Below are 22,601 nucleotides of genomic sequence, written 5' to 3'. Positions count from 1 at the left end.
CCTGTAGGGTGTTATGTAATGAGGTGTATTATGTAGGGTATTATGTAATGAGCAGATTTTTACTTTCTGCTTTGTGTTCATATTTAATTTGAATGTCTTTTTCCAAGAAAATGAATTTCATAAATAGAAATAAAACTCACAAAATTAATAATCCAGATGTTCTGGGAAATTCTGAAACAGTAAGAAATACAGACTTAAAATGGGGCTTCTTGGAGCTCCGTATCAATAAAAGAGAAAGGCCTCATGCCGGCTGAGGTAGTCTTTCTGTGTCTGTCTCTAAGAAGCTCTTGCTCTGGGGTAATACTAATGCCTAGGTGTGGTTATTCCAATGAGGAAGTATTAGGCAGTATTCTCCTCCCATCCTTTCTCCCAGTAAACTTTCCTGCTTTTCTCTGTGGCTGCTTTAATATCAGGCAATATTTTTGTCTTACTGAGTTTTAATGATGTCCTCAATGCCATATGTAAGTTGTATGCTGCTTGCGCCCTTTTTAATGCCCTTTTACACTACACCTGAATATAATAGAATATCTTCCTACCTAAAGTAGCTATTGACTTGGCATTTTCATTTCTCTTATCCTTTCTTAGAACATCTAATGAAATTGTCCATGGAAGAACTTGTAGAATTTTTTCAGGAGACCCTGGCAAAGGATTTTTTCTTTGAAGATGATTTTGTGATAGAGCAACTTCAGATTTCTATGACAGAACTAAAGCGGGCAAAGTTAGACCTTCCAGAACCTGGTAAGAATTACCCCAATACTTTATATCTACGTTATAATTAAGATTGGAAGACATGGCATAATTAACATGGGCTGTTTCTTGCCCACAGCGTAAGCATTATACTTGTGATGACATAATGTGGATGAATGCCTTACCAGCTCAGCTGCTTTGGCTTTTTCCTTATTTTAGGGAAAGGCAAATAAACATATTAATTAAATCTGCCTCTCCTAATAGATGACTGTACTATTCCTGCTTACATTTAGAAGTTTGGTTGGCAAATACTGTTGTTCAACAGAAGTAGCCATGGTGCTTTAAACGAGCATAACAATAAGCTTTTTTTTGCTTTCTTCATCTCATTTTGTGAAACCGTATACAATAGTAAGTACAGCAATAGTAAGTACAGTAAAAGCCCCATCTTATAGATGAGGAAATTGATACTTTAGTGCCTAAGTGGCTTAAATATGAAGCCACAGAACCACAAATAGCATTACTGAGACTGCAGGCCAGTTTTTCTGACTACTAGCCCAGGGCTCTTTGTAGTATGCTACAGTATAGATAATATATTTTATTCACTTATTGTAAGACATTTTTCAGCACCTACTAATAGGTTTTCTGCTAGGTACTACTTTGCTGGGGATTTAAGAACTGAAGAGAAAGATGAGAAGCTCTCAGGGTGTGCACTGGAGAGCTAGAATATACGAGAATGATAACAGAGGGTGAATGGGGCATTACTAGAGCTAGCCGCAGGGTAAATGGGAGAGGAGCAGAAGAAGGGGAGTGCAGGAAGGGAGGGAAGAAAATGAAAATGTCGAAAGATCACAGGAGGAATAACTTTCAAAGTTTCTACCAGATAGTACTTGACCATGTATGTCTTGAGAAAAAGTTACTTTCGCTTTTCTTCTTTCTTACCTTTGTTGCAGTGGATGGGTGTAGTAAGAGGCTAGGGAAGTGGAAGGTCATGGGCAAGAGATGAAAAGTAAAGAAAGTCAGTTATGTATGCCCTCATGCAGAGGTGAATTTGGCGTTTCCCCATCAGTGTGTCATGTTGGCTGTGTCTGTACAGAAGGACAAGCAGTACTTCCATGGAAAATACATTTTTCCTTTTGGTAAAAACCAAGATGTTTGCTTTTATTTACTTAATTGAGAAGGGTCTAATCAGCACTGCTCCAAGGTTTGCTCAAGGTCATCCAGGCTCCTAGGAAGCAACCCTCACAGCAGTAATGGGGTGTGGGCCTTGGCCTTGTGGAGCCGTTGCCTTTGTTAAGTGAGGTCAGCCCTCTCCTGTTCAGTGTAATGACTTCTGTTTTCTACTATCATTTATTTTTATTTATTTTATTCTACTATCATTTATTTTTAAATACCTTGCCTCCTTCTATAAAAAGAGGTCAAGGCAAATTTTAGTAAAAGTCAAATATAGAGGAAAAAATATAGAACTATTTAAACGTGAGATAATTCAAAACCTGTGTCATGGATTGCGATGGTGGTGACTTAGCATCTAATTAGCAGCTAATATTTATTGGGTGTTTACTGTGTGCCACGTACCACAGGTGCCGTCTCATTTAATCTCTAAAAATAACTCATAAAAGTGCTCATCTACATTGTGCAGATAGGGAAACCTAGTAGCAGTAGTCTGTAAGATCGTTTTACCAGGAAATGATAGAATGGGGACAGAGAATGGGGCAGGGGAGAAAAGGGGAGGAATAAATGATAGCAGAATCATGCTCTGATCATACTGGCAGTGAAGGTAGAATGGATTAGGCATCTCTGCGTTTTCTAGCACGACCATCTGCCTTTCATCGCCTGCCTGTCATTCTTTTTAAATTGTTGTGAACTGTATATGGAACACTAAGATAATTAAATGAACCTCATACCAAGAAAATTCCATGTCACATCTGTCCTTTTAAAAACCTCCATGAGGCTGGGCACAGTGGCTCACCCCTGTAATCCCAGCACTTCAGGAGGCCGAGGAGGGCAGATCACGAGGTCAGGAGACCGAGACCATCCTGGCTAACACGGTGAAACCCCGTTTCTACTAAAAATACAACAAATTAGTCGGGCATAGTGGCAGGCCCCTGTAGTCCCAGTTACTCGGGAAGTTGAGGCAGGAGAATGGCATGAACCCGGGAGGTGGAGCTTTCAGTGAGCTGAGATCGCGTCACTGCGCTCCAACCTGGGCGACAAAGTGAGACTCCGACTCAAAAAAAAAAAACCAAAAAAAAAAAAAACACCTACATGAACATGCCACTTCCTTTTGACTCCTTACATAATGTGGCAGTGTGAACTCCCCCGAGTCATGTGCAATGAGGCCTGTTTTCCTAGGCCCACATGAAAACATGGTGCTGTTACATTTTAAAATGTTTACTGATTGGATAGAGTCTTCCATTGTTGTTCTGATTGGTAGTTCTTTGAGTATCTTTCTTAGATATCTTTGGGGCACCCTTCTTTCTTTTTCTGTGAACTTCCCTGTTCATCTGTTGCCCATTTTTCTATTGGTCTGTTCATACAGGTTCTTGTTAAGGAGGCTAGCCAGTTTATTATGTGTTGCAGACACCTTCCATACAGCTTTCCCTATGGCTTCTTGCTTTTGTGTTTTTTGTAAAGAATTTTCCACATGCTGGATGAAGTGTTTTTTCTTAAGTACCCATATTTCTCTTCTAACATTTATATGTTTTCAGTGCTTATGGGTACAACTTCATTGAGATATAATTGAGTATGATGAAATCTTCAGCTCATCTAGAATTTACTTTTTGTTATGGAATAAGAACTCAGCTCTGCTTATTTTCCAAACCATTAGTCATGTGGATTAGTGGCATTTATTACATTACATTTTGGCACTCTATTCTGTTCCATTGCTCTCTGCTTTTCCAGTTACACTTTTTAAACATGAGACAGGGTCTCACTCTGTTGCCTAGGCTGGAGTGTGATGGCTCAATCATGGCTCAGTGCAGCCTTGACCTCCCCGGCTCAAGTGATCCTCCCACCTCAGTCTCCCCAGGTAGCTGGGACTACAGGTGCATGCCACCACTCCTGGGTAATTTTAGTATTTTTTGTAGAGGCAGGGTTCTGCCATGTTGCCCAGGCTGGTCTCAGACTCCTGGACTCAAGCAATCTGCCCACCTCAGCCTCCCAAAGTGCTAGGATAACAGGAGTATCCGGCCTCCAGTTACACTTTGCATATCTATTAGGGCAAATGTCCCCTCATTATTTTATATTATTTTGTCAAGTTACAAAAAAGAATCCACTAGTATTTTAGTGGTATTCAGATACAGTATTTTATTAATATTGAGATTGCACTGACATTAAGGATTTTTGAGAGAAAATTGATATTTTAAAAATTGAGTTTTTCTAAGTAAAAGCTTTTATTTTACAGTCGTTGAGGTTTGTTTTCTTCATGTGACTGTGAAGACATTTCTGGTCTCACATTCCATCCCCCACTCGTGTACCATATGAAACGTGGCTGTCAGCAGGTGGTCACTGGACAACCACAGGTGTGCTACAGAACTGCCATTTCTCCACAGCCTCAGGTGTGTGGACGTCGCTGCTGCCACTGGCGTTGGAGCCTAAGCAGGGGCTCTGCAGAGGAGACCCAAACAGAGTCAAAGCAGGGGTGCCACGTCCTATGGGGGATAGTTGTATCTTTTATTGCTATTGCAAGTTGAAGATTTTCTTCCATTTCTTTCTAACTGGTTAGGAAAACTCTTGGTATCCTTTTAATAATATTTTTGTAGCCAATATATTTGATCAGTTATCTTAGGTTTTCTAAGATTTAAGATACAAAATCTTATCTTCAACAAATAATAGTTCTTCCTCTTCCTTTTCAGTATTCATGCATCCTATCTGTTTTTTAGAAAATAGCTAGAAAGTATTCATCTATTACTGTTTTTAAGTTTTCTTGAAAAATCAAAGTGCTTGCTCAGTTTTTTTGAGTGCCTTTTGAACACAAATAATCATTTTTTTCCCTTTAAAACCTTTTCACATTAATAATTTTGTTAATGTACCTCCTAGTGGTGAATGATTCATTGCAATTCTTGGATAAACTTTACTTGGTTGTTATAAATTATTCCTTTATAGTACTGCTGATTTATACTGTCTAACATTTTACTTAACATTTTGAATGGTTATTCCTGAGATTTCATTGCAGTTAACCAAAACGTCTGTGTGTTGTCAGGTTATACTGTCCTCATAATTTGGAAGCCTTCCTTCTTTCTCTGTGTTCTGGAACTTTTACATAGTATTAAAATTATTCCTTAACAGCTCGAAAATATATTTGTGAAACTGTTTCCGTCTGATATAATTGTTTTGGGGGTTAATGTTTTGATTTATCTTCTAAGGTCAATGTGGGTCATTTGGTCATTTATATTTTCCTAGAAAGCTATTCATTTCTAGTTTCTTAATATATTTATGTAAGGTTTTGCAAAGCAATCTCTTACGGTTCTTTTTATATCTGTAACAATCCTACATTTTCATTTCTCACTTTCTTTGTACCTTCTCCTGCTCTTTGATAAAATTATCCAGAATTTAGTCTTTATTAATTGGCTTGTATCAAGAATCAGCTCTTGAATTAGTTAATTCTGATTTTCTTAGTTTATTTCTTCTTTTTTCCATAAAGTCGAATTCTTGGCTGGGTACAGTGGCTCACGCCTGTAATCCCAACACTTTGGAAGGCCAAGGCGGGCAGATCACTTGAGGTTAGGAGCTCAAGACCAGGCTGGCCAACGTGATGAAACCCTGTCTCTACTAAAAATAAAAAAATCAGCGGGGCGTGGTGGCAGGTGCCTGTAATCCCAACTACTCGGGAGGCTGAGGCAGGAGGATTGCTTGAACCTGGGAGGCGGAGGTTGCAGTGAGTCAAGATCGCACCACTGCACTTCAGCCTGGGTGACAGAGCAAGACTCCGTCTTGAAAAAATAATAATAATAAAAAAAGTCAAATGCTTGATTTATTTATTTCATAGTATGGGGGTGGTTTGTAAAAGTGTTGAAAGGCATGTCTTCTTTTGCTGTATTCATGTCTATGTTTTTTTGACATGTAGTTTTTTATCATTGTTATAATCTACATACACTGTCTACCATTTAAATTTTTGGTTTTCATTGACTAGATTTGTGTGAAGAGGAGTTTTGTGGGGGTTTTTGTGTGTGGGTTTGGCATCTTTTATTTTACTTATGAAAACTATCAAAAATACAGAGAAATATGATGTAAAAATTAAAAATGATCACCCATATGCCCACCTCATAGATTTAACTATTGTTAGCATTTTTGTACCTTTATTTTATTTCTGTATGTTTTGTAGTTGCTGTTGAAACATTTTTTGAAACTTTTTTATTGTGAAACTTTTCAAACATATTCAGAAGTAAGGAAATGTATAATGACTTCCTCCCAGGTACCCATTGCCCAGCTTATTTGAACAATTTTAAAGTGAAAATAAGGACATCAGGATACTTCACCTCAAATACTTGTCTCTGTAGCCAAGAAACAAGGACCTTCCCCCAGCCAACCACAATGCCATTGCTACACTAACAAGTGTAACAGTGTGACTACAGTGTGACTCCTCAGCATCATCTCAGGCCAGCTCCATGTGGGAAGATTTCCAGTTGTCCCTTAGGCTGCCTGTTAAGCTGTTTTTCTCACCAGCACTTAGTCAGGGCTACATTTTGTATTTGTTATGGGCTTAAGTCGCTTGACAGGGAGCAGTACACCTTTCCTCTTCCCCCCTCTTCACCCCACCTTTTGTTTTCCTCTGAATGACACTGAGCTGCTGAAGAGCACAGTCCCACTATTCTGTGGAATGTCGCACACTCAGGAGTTGTCTGGTTTTTCTTTCCTGGTGTTCTGTGTAGTTTCAGCAAACTAGAAGCTAGATGTAGCAGTTTAATAAGATTTAGATTAGACAGGAGTCCCACAGTGACTACTGTTTTCTTAATACTGGAGATGCTGAGTTTGCTGACGATAATCATATCTTTTTGTTTTAAAATAAAAGTTTTTTTAATTAAAAAAAAATCTTTTCAGTTAGCAGATAATCTGTGGATGATGTCTTGACACTGTATGGAGATGTCCAGTTTCCCTTTAACGCTCTCCCTCATGCTTTTGGCTTCCATTGATAATCCTTGCCTATATCAAATTTCTTCAGAGGTTGCAAAATAGTGATTTTCAAATTCAGTGATTTCTTTTACTTTTTTTTTTTTTTTTTTTTTTTTGCGACAGAGTTTTGCTCTTGTTTCCCAGGCTGGAGTGCAATGGCACGATCTCGGCTCACTGCAACCTTTGCCTCCCAGGTTCAAGTGATTCTCCTGCCTCAGCCTCCCAAATAGCTGGGATTATAGGCATATGCCACCACGCCCGGCTAATTTTGTAATTTTTTTTAGTAGAGATGGGGTTTCTCCATGTTGGTCAGACTGGTCTCGAACTCCTGACCCTCAGGTGATCCCTAAGTGCTGGGATTACAGGCGTGAGCCACCGCACCCAGCCTCTTTTACATTTTTTTTTTTTTTTGGCAAACTTTCTTCTGTAGCAAAGAGTTTTTCCTCCCTTATCAAGAGAGTTACCTTAAATGTAACTCTTTGGTTACCTTAAAATGTAGTTAGTACTGAAAAGGCAGAGTAAATGCTTCCTAGTTTTCTGTTTACTGGTTTTCCCCCATGCTGTCTTCTATTCAGATGAAGCCATTTGGCAGCACTTTTGTCAATTAACGGAAGTCATTCTGGTTAGAAAGCCTATGTTAATCCACTATGACTGCCAATTTAGCCAGATTTATAGTTTATGACCTAGATAGAAGAATCAAAGATTTTTCTCAGAATAGTTGACAGAGCCATTTTAGTCTTGGTAAATGGCCATAGCCTTCGGGGTACTTCAGTGCTTACGGGAGAACATCCACACTCCTTAGTGTAAGGTATAGCACTTTTCTGTCCGCAGCTTCCACACTTCACATCCCACCTCCCCGGCCGCTTTTGAGTCACATAGTAGTAATGATAACAGCAAACTGAGTCTTCTATGATAGATTTTTTGCTAAATGCTTTGAATTCACATATTAACTTAATTTTTTCCAGCAGCCCTTTGCAGTAGTCATTTGTTGATGCAAGTTTTTTTTAAAAAAAATCATTAATTCAAGGACAAATTTTCTATGCACAGGATTATTTAGATTTTAAAAATTAGTATTTATTAAACTCACAAATTTAGAAACGTATTTCTTCCTTACATTTAATTCAGTTTACAAAAGTTAGTATAGTATTTTAAAATCTGGCAAATTTTAACATTCTCGTCTAATGGAACTTTAATGTTTGGTTCCACTTATAAACATAAATTCCTACAAACGTTTTTAATTGCCTTTATAAATGTAATATATCCAGTTTCCTTTCAATGTATCAAATTTCAATTTAAATAAAATGTGTCCTAGTTCTAAAAAACTTACAAATCTAATTAATTCAACCTTAAGAATATCCTGAACCTTAAGTCTTTTGTTTCAGTATACTCTTTATAAGTTTAAAATCTAAAGTTCAAATCAGTGACTCATTTGCATATTTTTAAATTGGCATAAGAAGGCCAACTTGGCCAAATTCTCTGAAATATAAATATATAAAACACAGAAAATTCTAAATACAAACAGATTCCTTAATGCAAAAAACTACAGAATTAATCACCTTTGATTCTCTTAAACTTTGCCATTTAGTTCTGGATCTTCAGGAATTAAGACTTTTTTCCCAGGTAAACTTGGGGTGTACTTTCTCAGTCAGCTGAAGCATGAGCTGGAACTCCAGGTGAGTTCCATCGGGTGGCACCGCCTTTATTATCTCGAAGGTGGTGCCTGCGAGATGGCTTTGTCACATAGTCTGGATTCCTTAGACCCTCGTCGCCCACCACCTCATTCTTCCTTCTCCTCAGGGTCTGCCCCTTTCCACCCAGAAGATCTTGACTTTTTACCTTTAGAAATCTTTGAACCTGATGGAATCCTCTGTTCTTTTCATTTGTTCCTAATTTGGTAGGGCAATAATTTGTAATTAACTGACATTTATTTTAATTTTGAATAGTTTTCATGGGGAGTTTGCGATCAGTATTATTATTAGTAGCTTACCAAGGAGGAAACTTGGGCTTCAAGGTTAAGTACCTGCCCGAGGTCAGACAGTTGGTAATGAGAGTTCTGTCAGTTGACTCCAGAGCTGTGCATTACACCCACCTGGCCCTGCGCCTTGCAGCTCACAGCTCTAATCGGCCTGCTCTTTCAAGGCACTTTGCCTTGGAATACGCTCCTCCTCCAAGAATGCTCCCGACCATTCCCCAGATGCCTCTGTCCTCATCCTTTCTGCCAAGTTTCACGACTTGGTTTAAGCATCGCCTGAAGCCTTCTCAGCCGGTGCCTGGCCTCCCCAAACCCACAGAACTTGATCACCTGCACCTGTGTTTTGTGCCTGACCCGTCCACTACACATGCTTTTGTCCTCACACTTCCAGTGCCTCTGTCAGTCATGTCTCTATTAGACAGAAAGTTCCCTGGGACAGTAACCGGCTCCTGCCTCACCAGCACCTAATACACTGCGGGGCTGTGGCTGTGGCTGTATTTGTTACTTTTATTGAATAAATGAAATCCTAATGTATTTTTTAGATAATAAAAAAACTACTGTTTATAAAAGGTTAGCCTGAGGCAGTTTTTGGGGGTAGTGAAACCATTCTCTAGCTTGACTGCACATACATAGAAACGAAGCCATTTTATTGTATGTCAGTTTAGAAATTGCCCCACTTTTTGAGGATTGGAGTGGGTTTTCACTTTTATTTATTCATATAATGTAAAATGATGTTACATTTAACCATTTTTACATGTGTATAAAAATTGAAACTCTAGGAGACAAAGTGTAGGTTTTTAAAGTTACTTAACAAAGACCTCTTGAATTTATGTGGCATTAAATAGGTTTATAGTGAGAGATGTGTTTACATAATAGTCTCTTTTTCCTTTAACTTTCAAGTTTAATCTGCTGGGAAAAAAAGTCAAGCCTATGAACCCAACTATAAAAATTTTTTGAACTTTAAAAAAATTATAGCCATACTTTAGAAAGCAAATTCTATTTCTTTTCATCATGTTATTGAAAGCTACAAGTGTTTGAATTGTATATTTTGGCTAATATTACATTAAATATAAAGTCATTTGATTTTTCAGATAGTATATTTGAAGTCAGCAATATTTAAAAATACAATTGGACTTACTGTTTGATCTGGAAGGGGATAACTCTTTCCTAGAATAGTAGAATTATTTTCCTGATAGTGGCCCCCCACCGATTCTTCCCGAAAACTGTTAGAACAGTCAGAGTGTGTGTATTCTTCTATTGAAAGTGTAAAGGTAGAATGCTGCTCACAGAGCGAGCACTTAGAGCGCTTTGCTGCAATGATGCGCCTCTTGTCAGGTGCAAAAACCTGCTAAGGCCTCAGAGGCCGTTGATGGGCGAGGCTTGTAGTTGAGTGTGGCGTCCACTGGGGGGTGACAGAGACCAGAGTAAGATCAAGCAGGGACAAGCCTGAAGGGCCTGAGAGGGACTCTTCCTTGCTTTTTAGGGACTGTTAGAATATTATTTTGTTGGCTTCTTTTTTAAGAAAAAAAGTTACTTAAGAAGAAAATAATAAACATTTTTGCTTTTTTCTAAAATGTATCAAGTTACATTCCTTTTTGTTGAAGCGATTATTCTAATTGTTAGCACTGCCGTAAAAATACCACTTAGGCAAACACCAATGAGAAATATAAAAAATGTGGTATTTTCACAAAAGCATCCCCTACTGTATCTGTGAGGAGTTGTGGTGCCTCCTTACCCTTTAAGGAGTAGGGCAGTAAGTCTTTTTTTTTTTTTTTAAGTTTTAGGGTACATGTGCACAATGTGCAGGTTTGTTACATATGTATACATGTGCCATGTTGGTGTGCTGCACCCATTAACTCGTCATTTACATTAGGTATATCTCCTAATAATGCTGTCCCCCCCTCCCCCCACCCCACAACAGGCCTCGGTGTGTGATGTTCCCCTCCCTGTGTCCAAGTGTTTTCATTGTTCAGTTCCCACCTGTGAGTGAGAACATGCAGTATTTGGTATTTTGTCCTTGCAATAGTTTGCTGAGAATGATGGTTTCCAGCTTCATCCATGTCCCTACAAAGGACATGAACTCATTATTTTTTATGGCTGCATAGTATTCCGTGGTGTATATGTGCCACATTTTCTTAATCCAGTCTATCATTGTTGGACATTTGGGTTAGTTCCAAGTCTTTGCTATTGTGAATAGTGCCACAGTAAACATACGTGTGCATGTGTCTTTATAGCAGCATGATTTATAATCCTTTGGGTATATATCCAGTAATGGGATGGCTGGGTCAAATGGTATTTCTAATTCTAGATCCTTGAGGAATCGCCACACTGACTTCCACAATGGTTGAACTAGTTTACAGCCCCACCAACAGTGTAAAAGTGTTCCTATTTCTCCACATCCTCTCCAGCACCTGTTGTTTCCTGACTTTTGAATGATTGCCATTCTAACTGGTGTGAGATGGTATCTCATAGTGGTTGGCAGTAAGTCTTTATTCCAATTCCTATGTGGGTGTTTTTTGTTGTTGGTGGTGTTTTTTTTGTTTGTTTGTTTGTTTTTGAGACAAGAGTCTCACTCTGTCGCCCAGGCTGGAGTGCAGTGGCGTTCTCGGCTCACTGCAAGCTCCGCCTCCTGGGTTCACGCCATTCTTCTGCCTCAGCCTCTCAAGTAGCTGGGACTACAGGTGCCTGCCACCACGCCCAGCTAATTTTTTGTGTTTTTAGTAGAGACTGGGTTTCACCATGTTGGCCGGGATGGTCTCCATCTCCTGACCTCGTGATCCGCCCACCTCGGCCTCCCAAAGTGCTGGGATTACAGGCGTGAGCCACCACGCCAGGCCTCCAATTCCTGTGTTTTTAGGGAGAGGAAAGGGAAAATAAAATTTTAGGCATGAGACTGTAGTGGAGTGAGCAAAAACATGATTCTGTCTATTGAAAAGAAGCCCAGAATGCAAGCGTGGATAATAAATAGGAATGCTTATTGCCTATATATAGTTTTCTGTTTTGACATCAATTATGTGTGAATGTTTTAGTTACAGTTAGTTGCTTAGGGGTGAAAGGAGATATTTAAACCAAAGACAAGTAGAGCAGTGTTTGTGTGGTGGGGTTAGGGGTGGTAGTTCAAGCAGGCTGAGATAGCTCTGAAAATAGATCACACCAAAATGTTGAATGCTTTATTTGGACCTACTTCTGTGAAGAAGGGTAGAGAATACTAATTGGCATATAAAAATGTTACTGGTGATGGCATTCGTCCTTCTTACAGGGTCTGCATGATGTGTTTTCAGTTCAGTGGAGGTTGAATAATTAATCTCTAGAAAGGAACCGCCTCTGTAATGAAGTCAAGGAGATTTTCCTCTTCATCATAGTAGAGGCCAGATCCTGGCATGGCGTCCTTGGGTTCCGTATTGCTGGTGGAGCCGAGGCCTCTGTCCCTACAGAGGCTGTGAAAAGCCAGCGAGTCCCCGCGGGCCCTCCATGAGGTTCCCTGCGGCTGCCTCCATCCTCCACCTTCTCCATCCTCATGCCCTCTGCGCTGCTGGCTGCTTCTCTGGTCCTCTCCATTACTTGCCTTCCGTGACCTCCCCGCCACGTCTTCCTTCTTCCTCACCTCTCCTTCACTGTCTCCGCCCCTTCTTGCTTCTCCTCCTCATGAGAGGCACAGCGTTACTACCTCCACAGCGCTGCCCCGGGGGCCTGAGGGCCTCCCTGGAAACGTAAGCTGTATATACACTGCTCATTGTGGAATTTCTGAGAATATTACACTATTCAGAGGTGTTAGGCAGCTGTGGGAGAAATGTGTAGATGGCATAATCGCAGCGTTAGCATCAGCAAATGTTCATGGGAGATGGACGTTGGTGCAGGTATCATGAGCGTGCACGGGCTATACTTGTTAGTATTTAGCCTGCTCCCTGGCCATGGATCACTCTAGAAAGCAGGAGTGAGCTGGCACTGTTTAAAGTGAAGCAAACCCCAGCCCTGTAGTCTGATCTGGGCACTTGGGAATGCCCATCCCCCACTGTGCGGGGCCTCCAGCCTCACTTGGTTTATTGTCTTTAAAATGTGGAGGAATGGGTTTTTCAGCACCTGTATTTGAAAGGCTTTCTTATATCCCTGTCTCCTGCCTTTTGCATCCTTATTGAAAATCTCTGCAGAGCAAAGAGGCCATAACCTCTAAATGTTTTTCTACAGTTGAGGTATTTGCCATATTCCTCTTAAACAGTAGTTCCTAAAGAGAGGTTATCATTTAGGAATGGATTAGAGGCAGCGTCATTTTGTCTGTACTGGATTTCTTCCCCCCCGAACCCTGCTACATCTAATTTCTTAGCAATATGGATCTTGGATATTTATAACCCTCAGGTTTCTGCCTGTGTATATGGACAGTGTGTCATTACTCTAACTCATATGAATAGTTGAGTGAACGAACATTGTCAACACCTTCCTTGTGATTGTATTATGCTTTTAGATACTATGGGAAGGAATACAAAAGAAGTAAGTAGGTTATAGCCTACTAGGGGGAGGGAAAAGATATTAGGGGCTGCCATGAAAGAACTTTAAGATGCTGCTTTTTGGACATTGCAGAACAGCCACAGATTGTTTTTCCCCAGTGTGCATTTTGGCCTCTTGTCCATTCAATAAATGGAACGTGTTAAACTTTTCCTTTAATTCTAATATGATGCATAGATGTGTGATGTGTAGACTATTAGGCCCTCTTCCTTAGAGAGAGACATTTCTGTGTTTACTGGAATATAAAGTAGAATTAATTATAAGGTAAATATTTTTCTTACTCCTTATATTAAAAAATTAAATCTCCTACGTATGTATGACACATACCTTTGCATTTTGTTTTGTGCCTGAAATTACCACCTCAGTCCTTCCATTACTTCTCAATTGGTTTTTTCTTTCTCCTAAGAAACACATGCCTTATATTGGTAATTCTACATTTTACTATGTGTCCAGCTCAGTCTTTACTGATATGTGCCTCCTCTGTGGCTAAAGGATTCCAGAATGAAAATCTGTGAATATCACAACATAGGAATAGACCATGCCATGGCAACATTTTCCTCAAAGGTGTTCCGCATTTTTCCCACACCTCCTCCCCTCCACTCCCACGCTACAGTTTATTGTTTCCTGCACCACACTGGTGTTTTATGAAACCATCTTGCTGCTGTCCTTGACCTCTCTTCCCTACCCTGTCCTTGTAACTAACGCCAGCCAAGGGCCTCTGTGTATTTGAATGAGAACTAGGGGAAGGACAGGACCACTCCTCTGAGTGAGGGGTGTAGGCAGTAGTCCAGTAGTGTTTCGCTTCCATGTTTTCAGTGAAAAAGAGGTTTTAGAATGAGAACATTTGAATAAATATTGATAGGAGGAACTTGAAGCCAAGTGCGGCCAAGCTGTGACTAAGAGACCCTGGAACATACCATTCGACTGAGTGAACTGTGATTGACAGTCATCTGGGAAAGGATGTGGAGCCAAGCAGGTGTTTGAAGGGCAGCGATAAGAAAAATGTAGTTCCACTTTTTACAGAGGATTAAAGTTGAATAATGTAAATCACAGACAAGTAAACATGATGCCTGTCTGAGGCAAGAATCAATAAATGGATTAATTAAAAATGGATTTTTGATCACTCAGAAAGCAAAGAAGGTGATCACTCATCATGACTCCATCAAGCGATGCCATACTTGATTAATCTGACTTTGTTTTTTGGTAAGATTGCTCATTTAATGAATTGGAAGAATGCCATCAACAAAAGTAAAGTGTCTGGCAAAGTCTTAAAATACTTTTTTGGATAAGCTAAAAATATTTTTTACAAGTCATACACCAAAACTGCAGATTTATGTCATCCTACCTGTAGAACAGTATTCTGTGCTTTTAAACTTCATACTTCTCTGTTACTCAGATTAATACATGTTTACAGCAGAAAAAATATGTAGTACTTAAGGAAAAATAATCATTCAATCTAAGAGCATTTAAAAACTATATTAATGACTACTAGCGTTTATTTCTTTCAGTCATTTTTGTAGACATATGTATTGATTTATGCCTGTATGTCATTCATAGTAAATGAGATTATACTACACATATTGTCTATAACTTTCTTTTTAACTAGTTAGTGTTAAAAATACATTAATATGGCAGTAGGCTGCTACAAGTTTCTATACCTTATTTCACCATATTTTTGTTTCATAATTGTTACTGAATTTCACAAATCCTCTATGCTGAGGATATAAGTTTTCTAAAAGAATGCAGTTTTGAACATCCTTATAGCAAATATTTTGCATATCCCTTAATTGTCTTAGGATAAATTCTCAGAGGTGGAATTCCTAGATCAAACATTTCAATATGCATTGTCAAATTGGAGAATTTGTTTCTCCAAGCCCACAGTAGTGAGATATACCAATTTAGAAGTATTTTAATTTGCATTTTTCTGATAACTTGTGATATATTTACCTGCTCTTTTCTTCTTTGAGTTTCCTGTTCATATTCTTTATTTAATTTTTCTATATAGGGCATCCTCCATTTCCTTTGAGAGTTCTTTACCTTTTAGAGAAGTTAGGGTGCTCCATTTTTGTTCTTACTCAGTTCAGTACTTGTTACCAGTCACTTGGATGAAAGCATTGGTAGCGTGGTGTTCAGATTTGTGGATGGCGTCACATGGGGAGGTATAATTAATGTAAAATTCCAGGGAGATCCCAGATTGAAATGATGAGTCTAAGTAAGATAAATTGAGATAGGAATCAATGTAAAGCACTTTGAACCTGTCTAAAAACAGCTACCCTCATGAGCTCCTTAATGAACTTTCGGTCAACAGTGGACTGCATATAGAATGCTGGCCCTGTGAGCCGAAAATAGCGTATTTTCACTGTCCCATTTCTATCTTTAGATTCACAAATACCTACCACTGTGTTCCAGTGACCCTGCAGTATTGAGTACAGTAACATGCTGTATGTGTTTGTAGCTGAGGAGTAGTAGGCTGTATCATAGAGCCTCGGTGTGCAGTAGGCTGTGCCATCTAGGTTTGTATTAGTGCACTCTGATGTTCACACGGTGATGAAATTGCCTGACAACTTATTTCTCAGAACATATGCCTGTCATTAAGTGATGCATGACTGTATAGAGTAATAGCAACTACCAGTTCCTAAGCATCTTCTATATGTCGGGAAATATGCTAGGTTTTTCTTTATATATTAACTCTTATCCTCATAGCGGATCTATAAAATAGATATTGCCGTTTTCATTTATGGATGAGAATTCTGAGACTCCCAAGTTCACACAGCTTATTGTGGCAGATTCAAATTCAGGTCACTTGTTCCTGTTGACCCTGCTGTTCCCACTGTGCCTTGGAGACACACAGCTTAACAACATTTGGGAAACATTGTCTCTAAAGGGAGGGCAGTACAGTGTGACCGCCAGATAGCTGATACACTCTCCACTACAGTGTTCAGGATGAGGGAAGTAATCGCCCATCTTAGTTCAAACCTAGAATATTGCTTAAATTCTGGGTTACCACACTTAAAAGGGGTATGATTTTACTTGATTATCATCAATAAATAGTGATAGCTGAGTGTCTAGGGAAAACACTTTGGAAGCCGAACCCATGTTAACCATTCTCAGGAATAAATTGGTGACCACAAGACATAGAAAATTGCATACAGAAATCTGCAAAGTATTGGAACTCTAAATGCCCCTATAGGGTTGTTACTGCCTGTGTCTACCTTCCACATTTGCTTTGCCCAGTTGTTTTTTTGATGGGGTTGTATAAAATACATTTTATTATAATCACTGTAGTTTGTTTCATTACATTGTTGACACTGAAAATGTGCTAGGACCATACAAGCAAATTATCACAAATAATGAAGTAGGTGACTTTTTGCTAACAGAAAAAGGCAGTCCCTAAAATTTATTTAAAACAATCCAGTTTTGAGATTGGGGATATAGAGCTAAGGGTAGCTGCCCTTAGAAACGCCTCATGTCAGGTGAATTGAGTTTTCATTAATTGAGAATTGAGAATTGATGCAGACTGAAACATGGAACTCAGAATCTGGGCACCTCCAGGCAGCACTGAGAGCAGCTTGGGTGCTTCCGCTGCCAGCACGGTGTGGGGAGAGCACGTACAGGCACAGCAGCAGTAGCAGCAGCAGCAGCAGCAGACCAGCTGGAAATCTATTCCTTTTTTGGTTTTGTTTGTTTTTTAAATACTGCTATGGAGAATCTTAAAAGACATTTTAAATTATTTCATGTGAGCTAAAAAGTTGGTGGCTCTCTGCAGGCCAGTGAGTGGTGGAGAAGTGAGGCAGCTTCCAGGGCTCAGTGTGACAGTCTCTGCAGCGAATCCAGTTTTGCCCCTGTGACAGTGCATCTTCAGGCATGCATTCACCACTCTGGGCGTCACAGTTTTCCTTTTCTTTAATGGTTATGTTTTTCATCAGGTTTCTTCTTGCTAACCTGAAAAGGATGTTTTGATGATTGGCTGATATTGCTGTCTGATGGAATATCAGCCAGCCACTGAATTAGCCAATCAGATTACTGGGTTCTGCCCTTAGAAAACTGTCAGACAGTGAGGACTAAAGGAAAGTTTATAAATTCAGTCTTTCTATTATTCATGTCTTTATATCTTCTTGATAAATTGTGTTTGTTGGGATTATTTGCCTACAGGGAAGAAGGCATTCATATATTTATCTGGGACTAAATGGATGACTACCTATTTGTAGAGCTGATAGAAAAAAACTTTTGGAGGAATCTGGATAGGTTTTAATTTTATTTTTATTGCTACTTTTTAACCTGATGTGCTGAATAACTACTTGAAGTATTCTTGACTTGCTAGTATTTAAAGTCTACTTTCTCCATTCCTGGCATTTCAAGGTTATTTCACATACACATTCATAAAACAAAGAAAACTTTTCTGAATTACAAGCATTTTAAAGTTTGGGTTGCCAATTGAAATAATTGGTCCACATATTATAAAATATATTTCTTACCAAAAGGTATAAGAACAACGTGGGTTCTGCCAGCTGTTCCAGAATAGGATTTGCCTGTGGCTGTCTCAGGCCAGGAGTTATGCTATGCGCTGCTTGCTCTTTCACAGTTCACATCTAACACATTGAGCAGGTGTGCAGATACTGCCTTAACAATTACCCAGGAAGCAACTTCTTCTCACTGCCTCCACGGTGGTATAGTGGAGGAGGAGGATCAAAGGCTCTGGAATCAGCTTAGGGTTTGAATTCTGGACCTGTGACTTGCTAGTGGTGAGCCTTTGGGCAGGTTAGTTTCTGCCTCCATTTTCCATCAAAATGTGGGAAAATAGTAGAGCCCTGCACTGTCTGCCTATCGCAGGCCTTACAGGTACAGCTTTCTGAGCAGTGGCCAGCGCGCAGTGACTGCCTAGTGAGTACCAGCCATTAGTGTCACATCATTCAGTAGTACCACAATCGAAATCCCGGCCACCATTAAAGTTATTTTTCTAAGATAGACATGAGGTCGTGTAATTCTTCTGCTGAAAAGCCTCTAGTATTTTATAGTTAACTTGGAATAAAATCCAGATTCCTTGCCGCACTCTTCAAGGCTGCATGTGTGCCTGCCTGTCCCCGACTCAAGGCCCATGCTCAGAGGACCGCCTCCTTGCTGGCACTCTCCTGCTCTGTACATTTGGCCTAATTGTGAGTGTTGGTATGTTTTAGTATCAGTCTCTAAAAAACACCTCTCATCAGCTACCAACTTTCTGTGGTATAAACAGTGTGTGTAAGTGGTATAAACAGTGTGTTGTATGACAGTGTGTTGTATGTCAGCGTGTATCTGTGCACAGATGAAAAGCATGCCATTGTTACTAATGGATTGCTTCAACTGGCTACTGTTTACTCGTGTATTATCTTACTTAGCCTTTCTCTTTCTTTTCAGGTAAAGAGGATGAATATCCAAAGAAGCCCTTGGGGCAGCTTCCACCTGAACTTCAGTCTTGGGGCGTCCATCACTTGAGCAACGGACAGAGGAGCGTGGGCCGGCCGAGCCCGCTGGCCAGCGGCAGGAGGGAGAGCGGGGCGCCCCACAGGAGGCACGAGCACTCCCCGCACCCCCAGAGCAGGACCGGGACGCCCGAGAGAGCACAGCCGCCAAGACGGAAATCGGTGGAGGAGGAGAGCAAAAAGCTTAAAGATGAGGCAGATTTTCAAAGAAAACTCCCATCGGGTCCACAGGACAGTTCCAGGCAATATAATCACGCAGCTGCCAACCAAAATAGCAACGCCACTTCAAATATCAGGAAGGAGTTTGTGCCCAAATGGAATAAACCGTCAGACGTCTCAGCTACAGAGAGAACTGCCAAATACACCATGGAAGGCAAAGGTCGAGCAGCGCACCCCGCGCTCGCAGTTACCGTCCCAGGTCCTGCCGAGGTGCGGGTGTCAAACGTGCGGCCAAAGATGAAGGCCCTGGATGCTGAGGACGGGAAGCGGGGCTCCACTGCATCGCAGTACGACAACGTGCCAGGCCCGGAGCTGGACAGCGGCGCTTCCGTGGAGGAGGCGCTGGAAAGGGCTTACTCCCAGAGCCCCCGGCATGCCCTTTACCCTCCTAGCCCGAGAAAGCACGCTGAGCCAAGTTCTAGTCCATCAAAAGTATCCAACAAGTTTACTTTTAAAGTACAGCCTCCAAGTCATGCACGATATCCGTCCCAGCTAGATGGGGAAGCCCGAGGGCTAGCTCATCCCCCCTCCTACAGCAATCCCCCCGTTTACCACGGAAACTCTCCCAAACACTTCCCTACTGCCAACAGCAGCTTTGCTTCTCCACAGTTTAGCCCTGGGACTCAACTGAATCCTTCCAGGAGACCTCATGGTTCTACTCTTTCCGTCAGTGCTTCTCCGGAGAAATCTTACAGCCGCCCAAGCCCCCTTGTACTGCCGTCTAGTCGAATAGAAGTCCTCCCTGTTGACACTGGTGCTGGGGGATATTCGGGCAATTCAGGGTCACCAAAGAATGGAAAATTGATCATTCCACCAGTGGATTACTTGCCAGATAACAGAACATGGTCAGAAGTTAGTTATACATACAGACCTGAGACGCAGGGACAATCATGGACCCGAGATGCTAGCCGTGGCAATTTACCAAAATACTCAGCCTTTCAACTCGCACCCTTTCAGGACCATGGCCTCCCTGCAGTTTCTGTAGATAGTCCCGTGAGATATAAAGCTTCACCGGCCGCAGAAGATGCCAGTCCATCTGGATATCCATATTCAGGGCCCCCGCCTCCAGCCTACCACTACAGGAATCGGGACGGGCTTTCCATCCAAGAGTCAGTGTTGCTGTGAGATTTGACGTGTACTTGCTAAAGACGAGAGAGAAACCACGTGAAACCTACATTGCTATGTTCATAATTGCCAAAGCAGTATTTATACTATTGTAAACAACTCGCACATCTCTCCTGTCTGTTAGTAGTAAGAATACAGGGAAATGTCTTCAGCCCCACGTAGATGCTGCTTAAGATGAGCGTTTCAATTGCATCATCACTGACCTGTTAGAATTTAACCCGGAAACATCGCAATAGCATTTAGGGATGCACGCACAGTGGTAATTTATTACTCAGTTCCGGTTATGTTTTTCTCCAAAACCTGAACATTTTTACTCTGTTGGCTCATTCTATTTTGACTAATGTTACAAAGTACTGAAAAAACTGTAGAATAGATATTTTTAAGGCTATATGTAGTGTATGTGTCTTTTAATAGATATAGGCATCTGTTCATCCACATTTGAACACAGAGCTAAAGAAACGTTTTTTAAAAAACTACTTTTAATCCAGATCCATGGAATAATATGTAATTCTTGTTTTCCTTGTCTTTTAGTCCAGTTTTTCTTTTTCCCTCTCATATATTTGTAACCTGGGTCCTAAACTGACTGAAGAGTTTGTCCTGACTTTATTAATTGCAGTCTCACAGAATGCTCATCATTCTCCTTCAGCTGTTGCCATTTTCTTTCAATCTGAAAATTAAAGACATTGGAGAGAAAGGCTAACCACTTAATGGTGCTTAAAAATCGGGGCACTTAAAATAAGTTTACGGCCAAAGGTGCAGCAGTGCTTATCACATCCACATACTAAGAGATTGGTCTTAGTGCGTTTGTGCCCTTTGTTCTGGTCTGACTCTTGCGAATCTCAGAGCAGGAGAAGTTGCAGCTTACTGATCCCTCAGTGCTCACAGTACTCATGTGGGGCAGCCACACTAACTGCATTAGCAGTGTGGTTACTTCTTTCTTCTGCCTCGACTCACATGGCTTCTCCCCACGAAGGTCCCAGGGTGGCCATTTATACAATCCATTTCTGTCCTCTTTATGGAATGTAGTCGACGGATATTGCTGCACCTCATCAGGCCATTACATTGTCCATGTTAAAATTATAAAAATGATCCTAGTTTTTCATAGGAGTCTAGGATTTTGATCTTTTAAAAAATACAGTGTGATTTCATGCTTTTGAACATCTTTTTTTCATTGAAACAAATTCAAGTTCTTGGCTTAAAAAAAAATTAGTGATGTCTTTAAAAAATATTCTGTTACACTACAGATACCAAAACACTGACAAAGATTTAGGCACTCCAAGAGAGTATGACTTCGTGTTTAATTGGGGAGCTTGTTTTCAACATTGCTTATATTTGAATAGTAGAAAACCCGACATTGATGTTTCTTCCTGTTGCAAGGTGGGGCTTTAAACTTTCAAGGTACAAAAGTATGTCTTTTAAAATGGAAGTAACGTTTGTTTAGCTAGTGAATGTGACAATATATTTTATGTATATAATGAGTCTAATGTAATTTTGATCAACTTGGTAATGATGTTATTAAATAGCAAAACAAGTGCAGTGTATTAAAGCTAAACACTACATTGAAACGCAAACAAAATTCTGGTGAAATAACTGGGCTGTTGATGCAGGTCAGGTGGAAGCTGAGAAATAAATGTATATAAATATGTAGCTGAGGATATTAATTCCCATTATATAACCATAATTCTGTGACTTGTAATAAACCAAGCTGTACAATTTAGTTTATAATAGCAGTATCTGAGCTGCTCCAAAATATATATATCAACAGTGGTAAATACTGTAGATTTTTATATATATATATATATATATATATATATATGCAAAAAATATATATATACACACAAGCACTATTTTCTTATGTCATTTATGACATTTTTTATCTGTATACTTTTTTGATGTGATTGTTTTTTAACATGCTAAAAGTAATAAGTATATTTTGTGTCTTTTATGTGCATTTTTTTCATACGGCAAAAATGGTGCACCCCCTGATGCTTTGAAGGCTAATTCTCTTCTAATGGAGTAGCTGTTGCCTAGTATTCACCTGTGTTACTTTGTATATGTCACAGTTCTATGTTTAATGCTTTACTAATTTCCAGTAAGACTATATTTAAAACTACATAGTCTTTCCTTATTTTATTTAGTATGACATTGTCAATAGTAATAAGGTAGCATTTCTAGTCTTCCTCATTACAAAATGTAGCTGTTTTCTAAGTAGGAAAATGTAATTTGAAATTATCTTGCCACCATACAGTTTTACTTTTTCAAATTTATTTTTTAATAAGAGATAATGAAATAATGATATAAAAAGATTGGTAAAGTATATTTATGAAAAACCCATTTAGTACAGATTTTCATAGTGTAGAGACTGATTTTGCCCTGTAACTGCATGTACATGGTGTATTTTGCCATTAAGTCTTTTATTTGTGGCAATTTTGCCTTAGTAGGCGCTTGGCGTAGTTTCTATTTTATAGAATATTTAGTCTGAGAAGTTAAAGAAACTAGACCTAGGATCTCAAAAGTTTTAAAACTTTGACGTT

The 22,601-nt window shown here is 39.8% G+C and overlaps 1 protein-coding gene and 1 long non-coding RNA gene across 14 annotated transcripts in view; one reads left to right on the top strand and one right to left on the bottom strand.

The window, feature by feature from the left end:
- USP6NL (USP6 N-terminal like) overlaps positions 1–21,998 on the top strand; it is a 151,141-nt gene extending 129,143 nt beyond the window's left edge. For 12 of the 13 annotated variants that reach the window (XM_024448263.2, NM_001391960.1, NM_014688.5 and 9 more), the window contains 2 exons: positions 586–738; positions 18,659–21,998. In XM_024448263.2, the coding sequence (XP_024304031.1) occupies positions 586–738; positions 18,659–20,067 (1,562 nt within the window). In that variant the 3' untranslated portion in view covers positions 20,068–21,998. The remainder of the gene's footprint in view (positions 1–585; positions 739–18,658) is intronic. The other variant, NM_001391961.1, reaches the window with a different exon arrangement.
- LOC105376411 (uncharacterized) lies at positions 15,304–18,725 on the bottom strand. The gene is made up of 2 exons (XR_930658.3): positions 18,636–18,725; positions 15,304–15,475 (listed from the first exon to the last, which is right to left on the bottom strand). It is a non-coding gene; the product is annotated as an uncharacterized LOC105376411 (long non-coding RNA).
- Positions 21,999–22,601: the final 603 nt, after the last annotated feature.

The sequence above is a fragment of the Homo sapiens genome, chromosome 10, assembly GCF_000001405.40.
Source record: "Homo sapiens chromosome 10, GRCh38.p14 Primary Assembly".
NCBI classification, from domain to species: Eukaryota; Metazoa; Chordata; class Mammalia; order Primates; family Hominidae; genus Homo; species Homo sapiens.
Note: the sequence above shows the minus strand (reverse complement) of the source record. Positions and strands in the feature narration are given on the sequence as shown.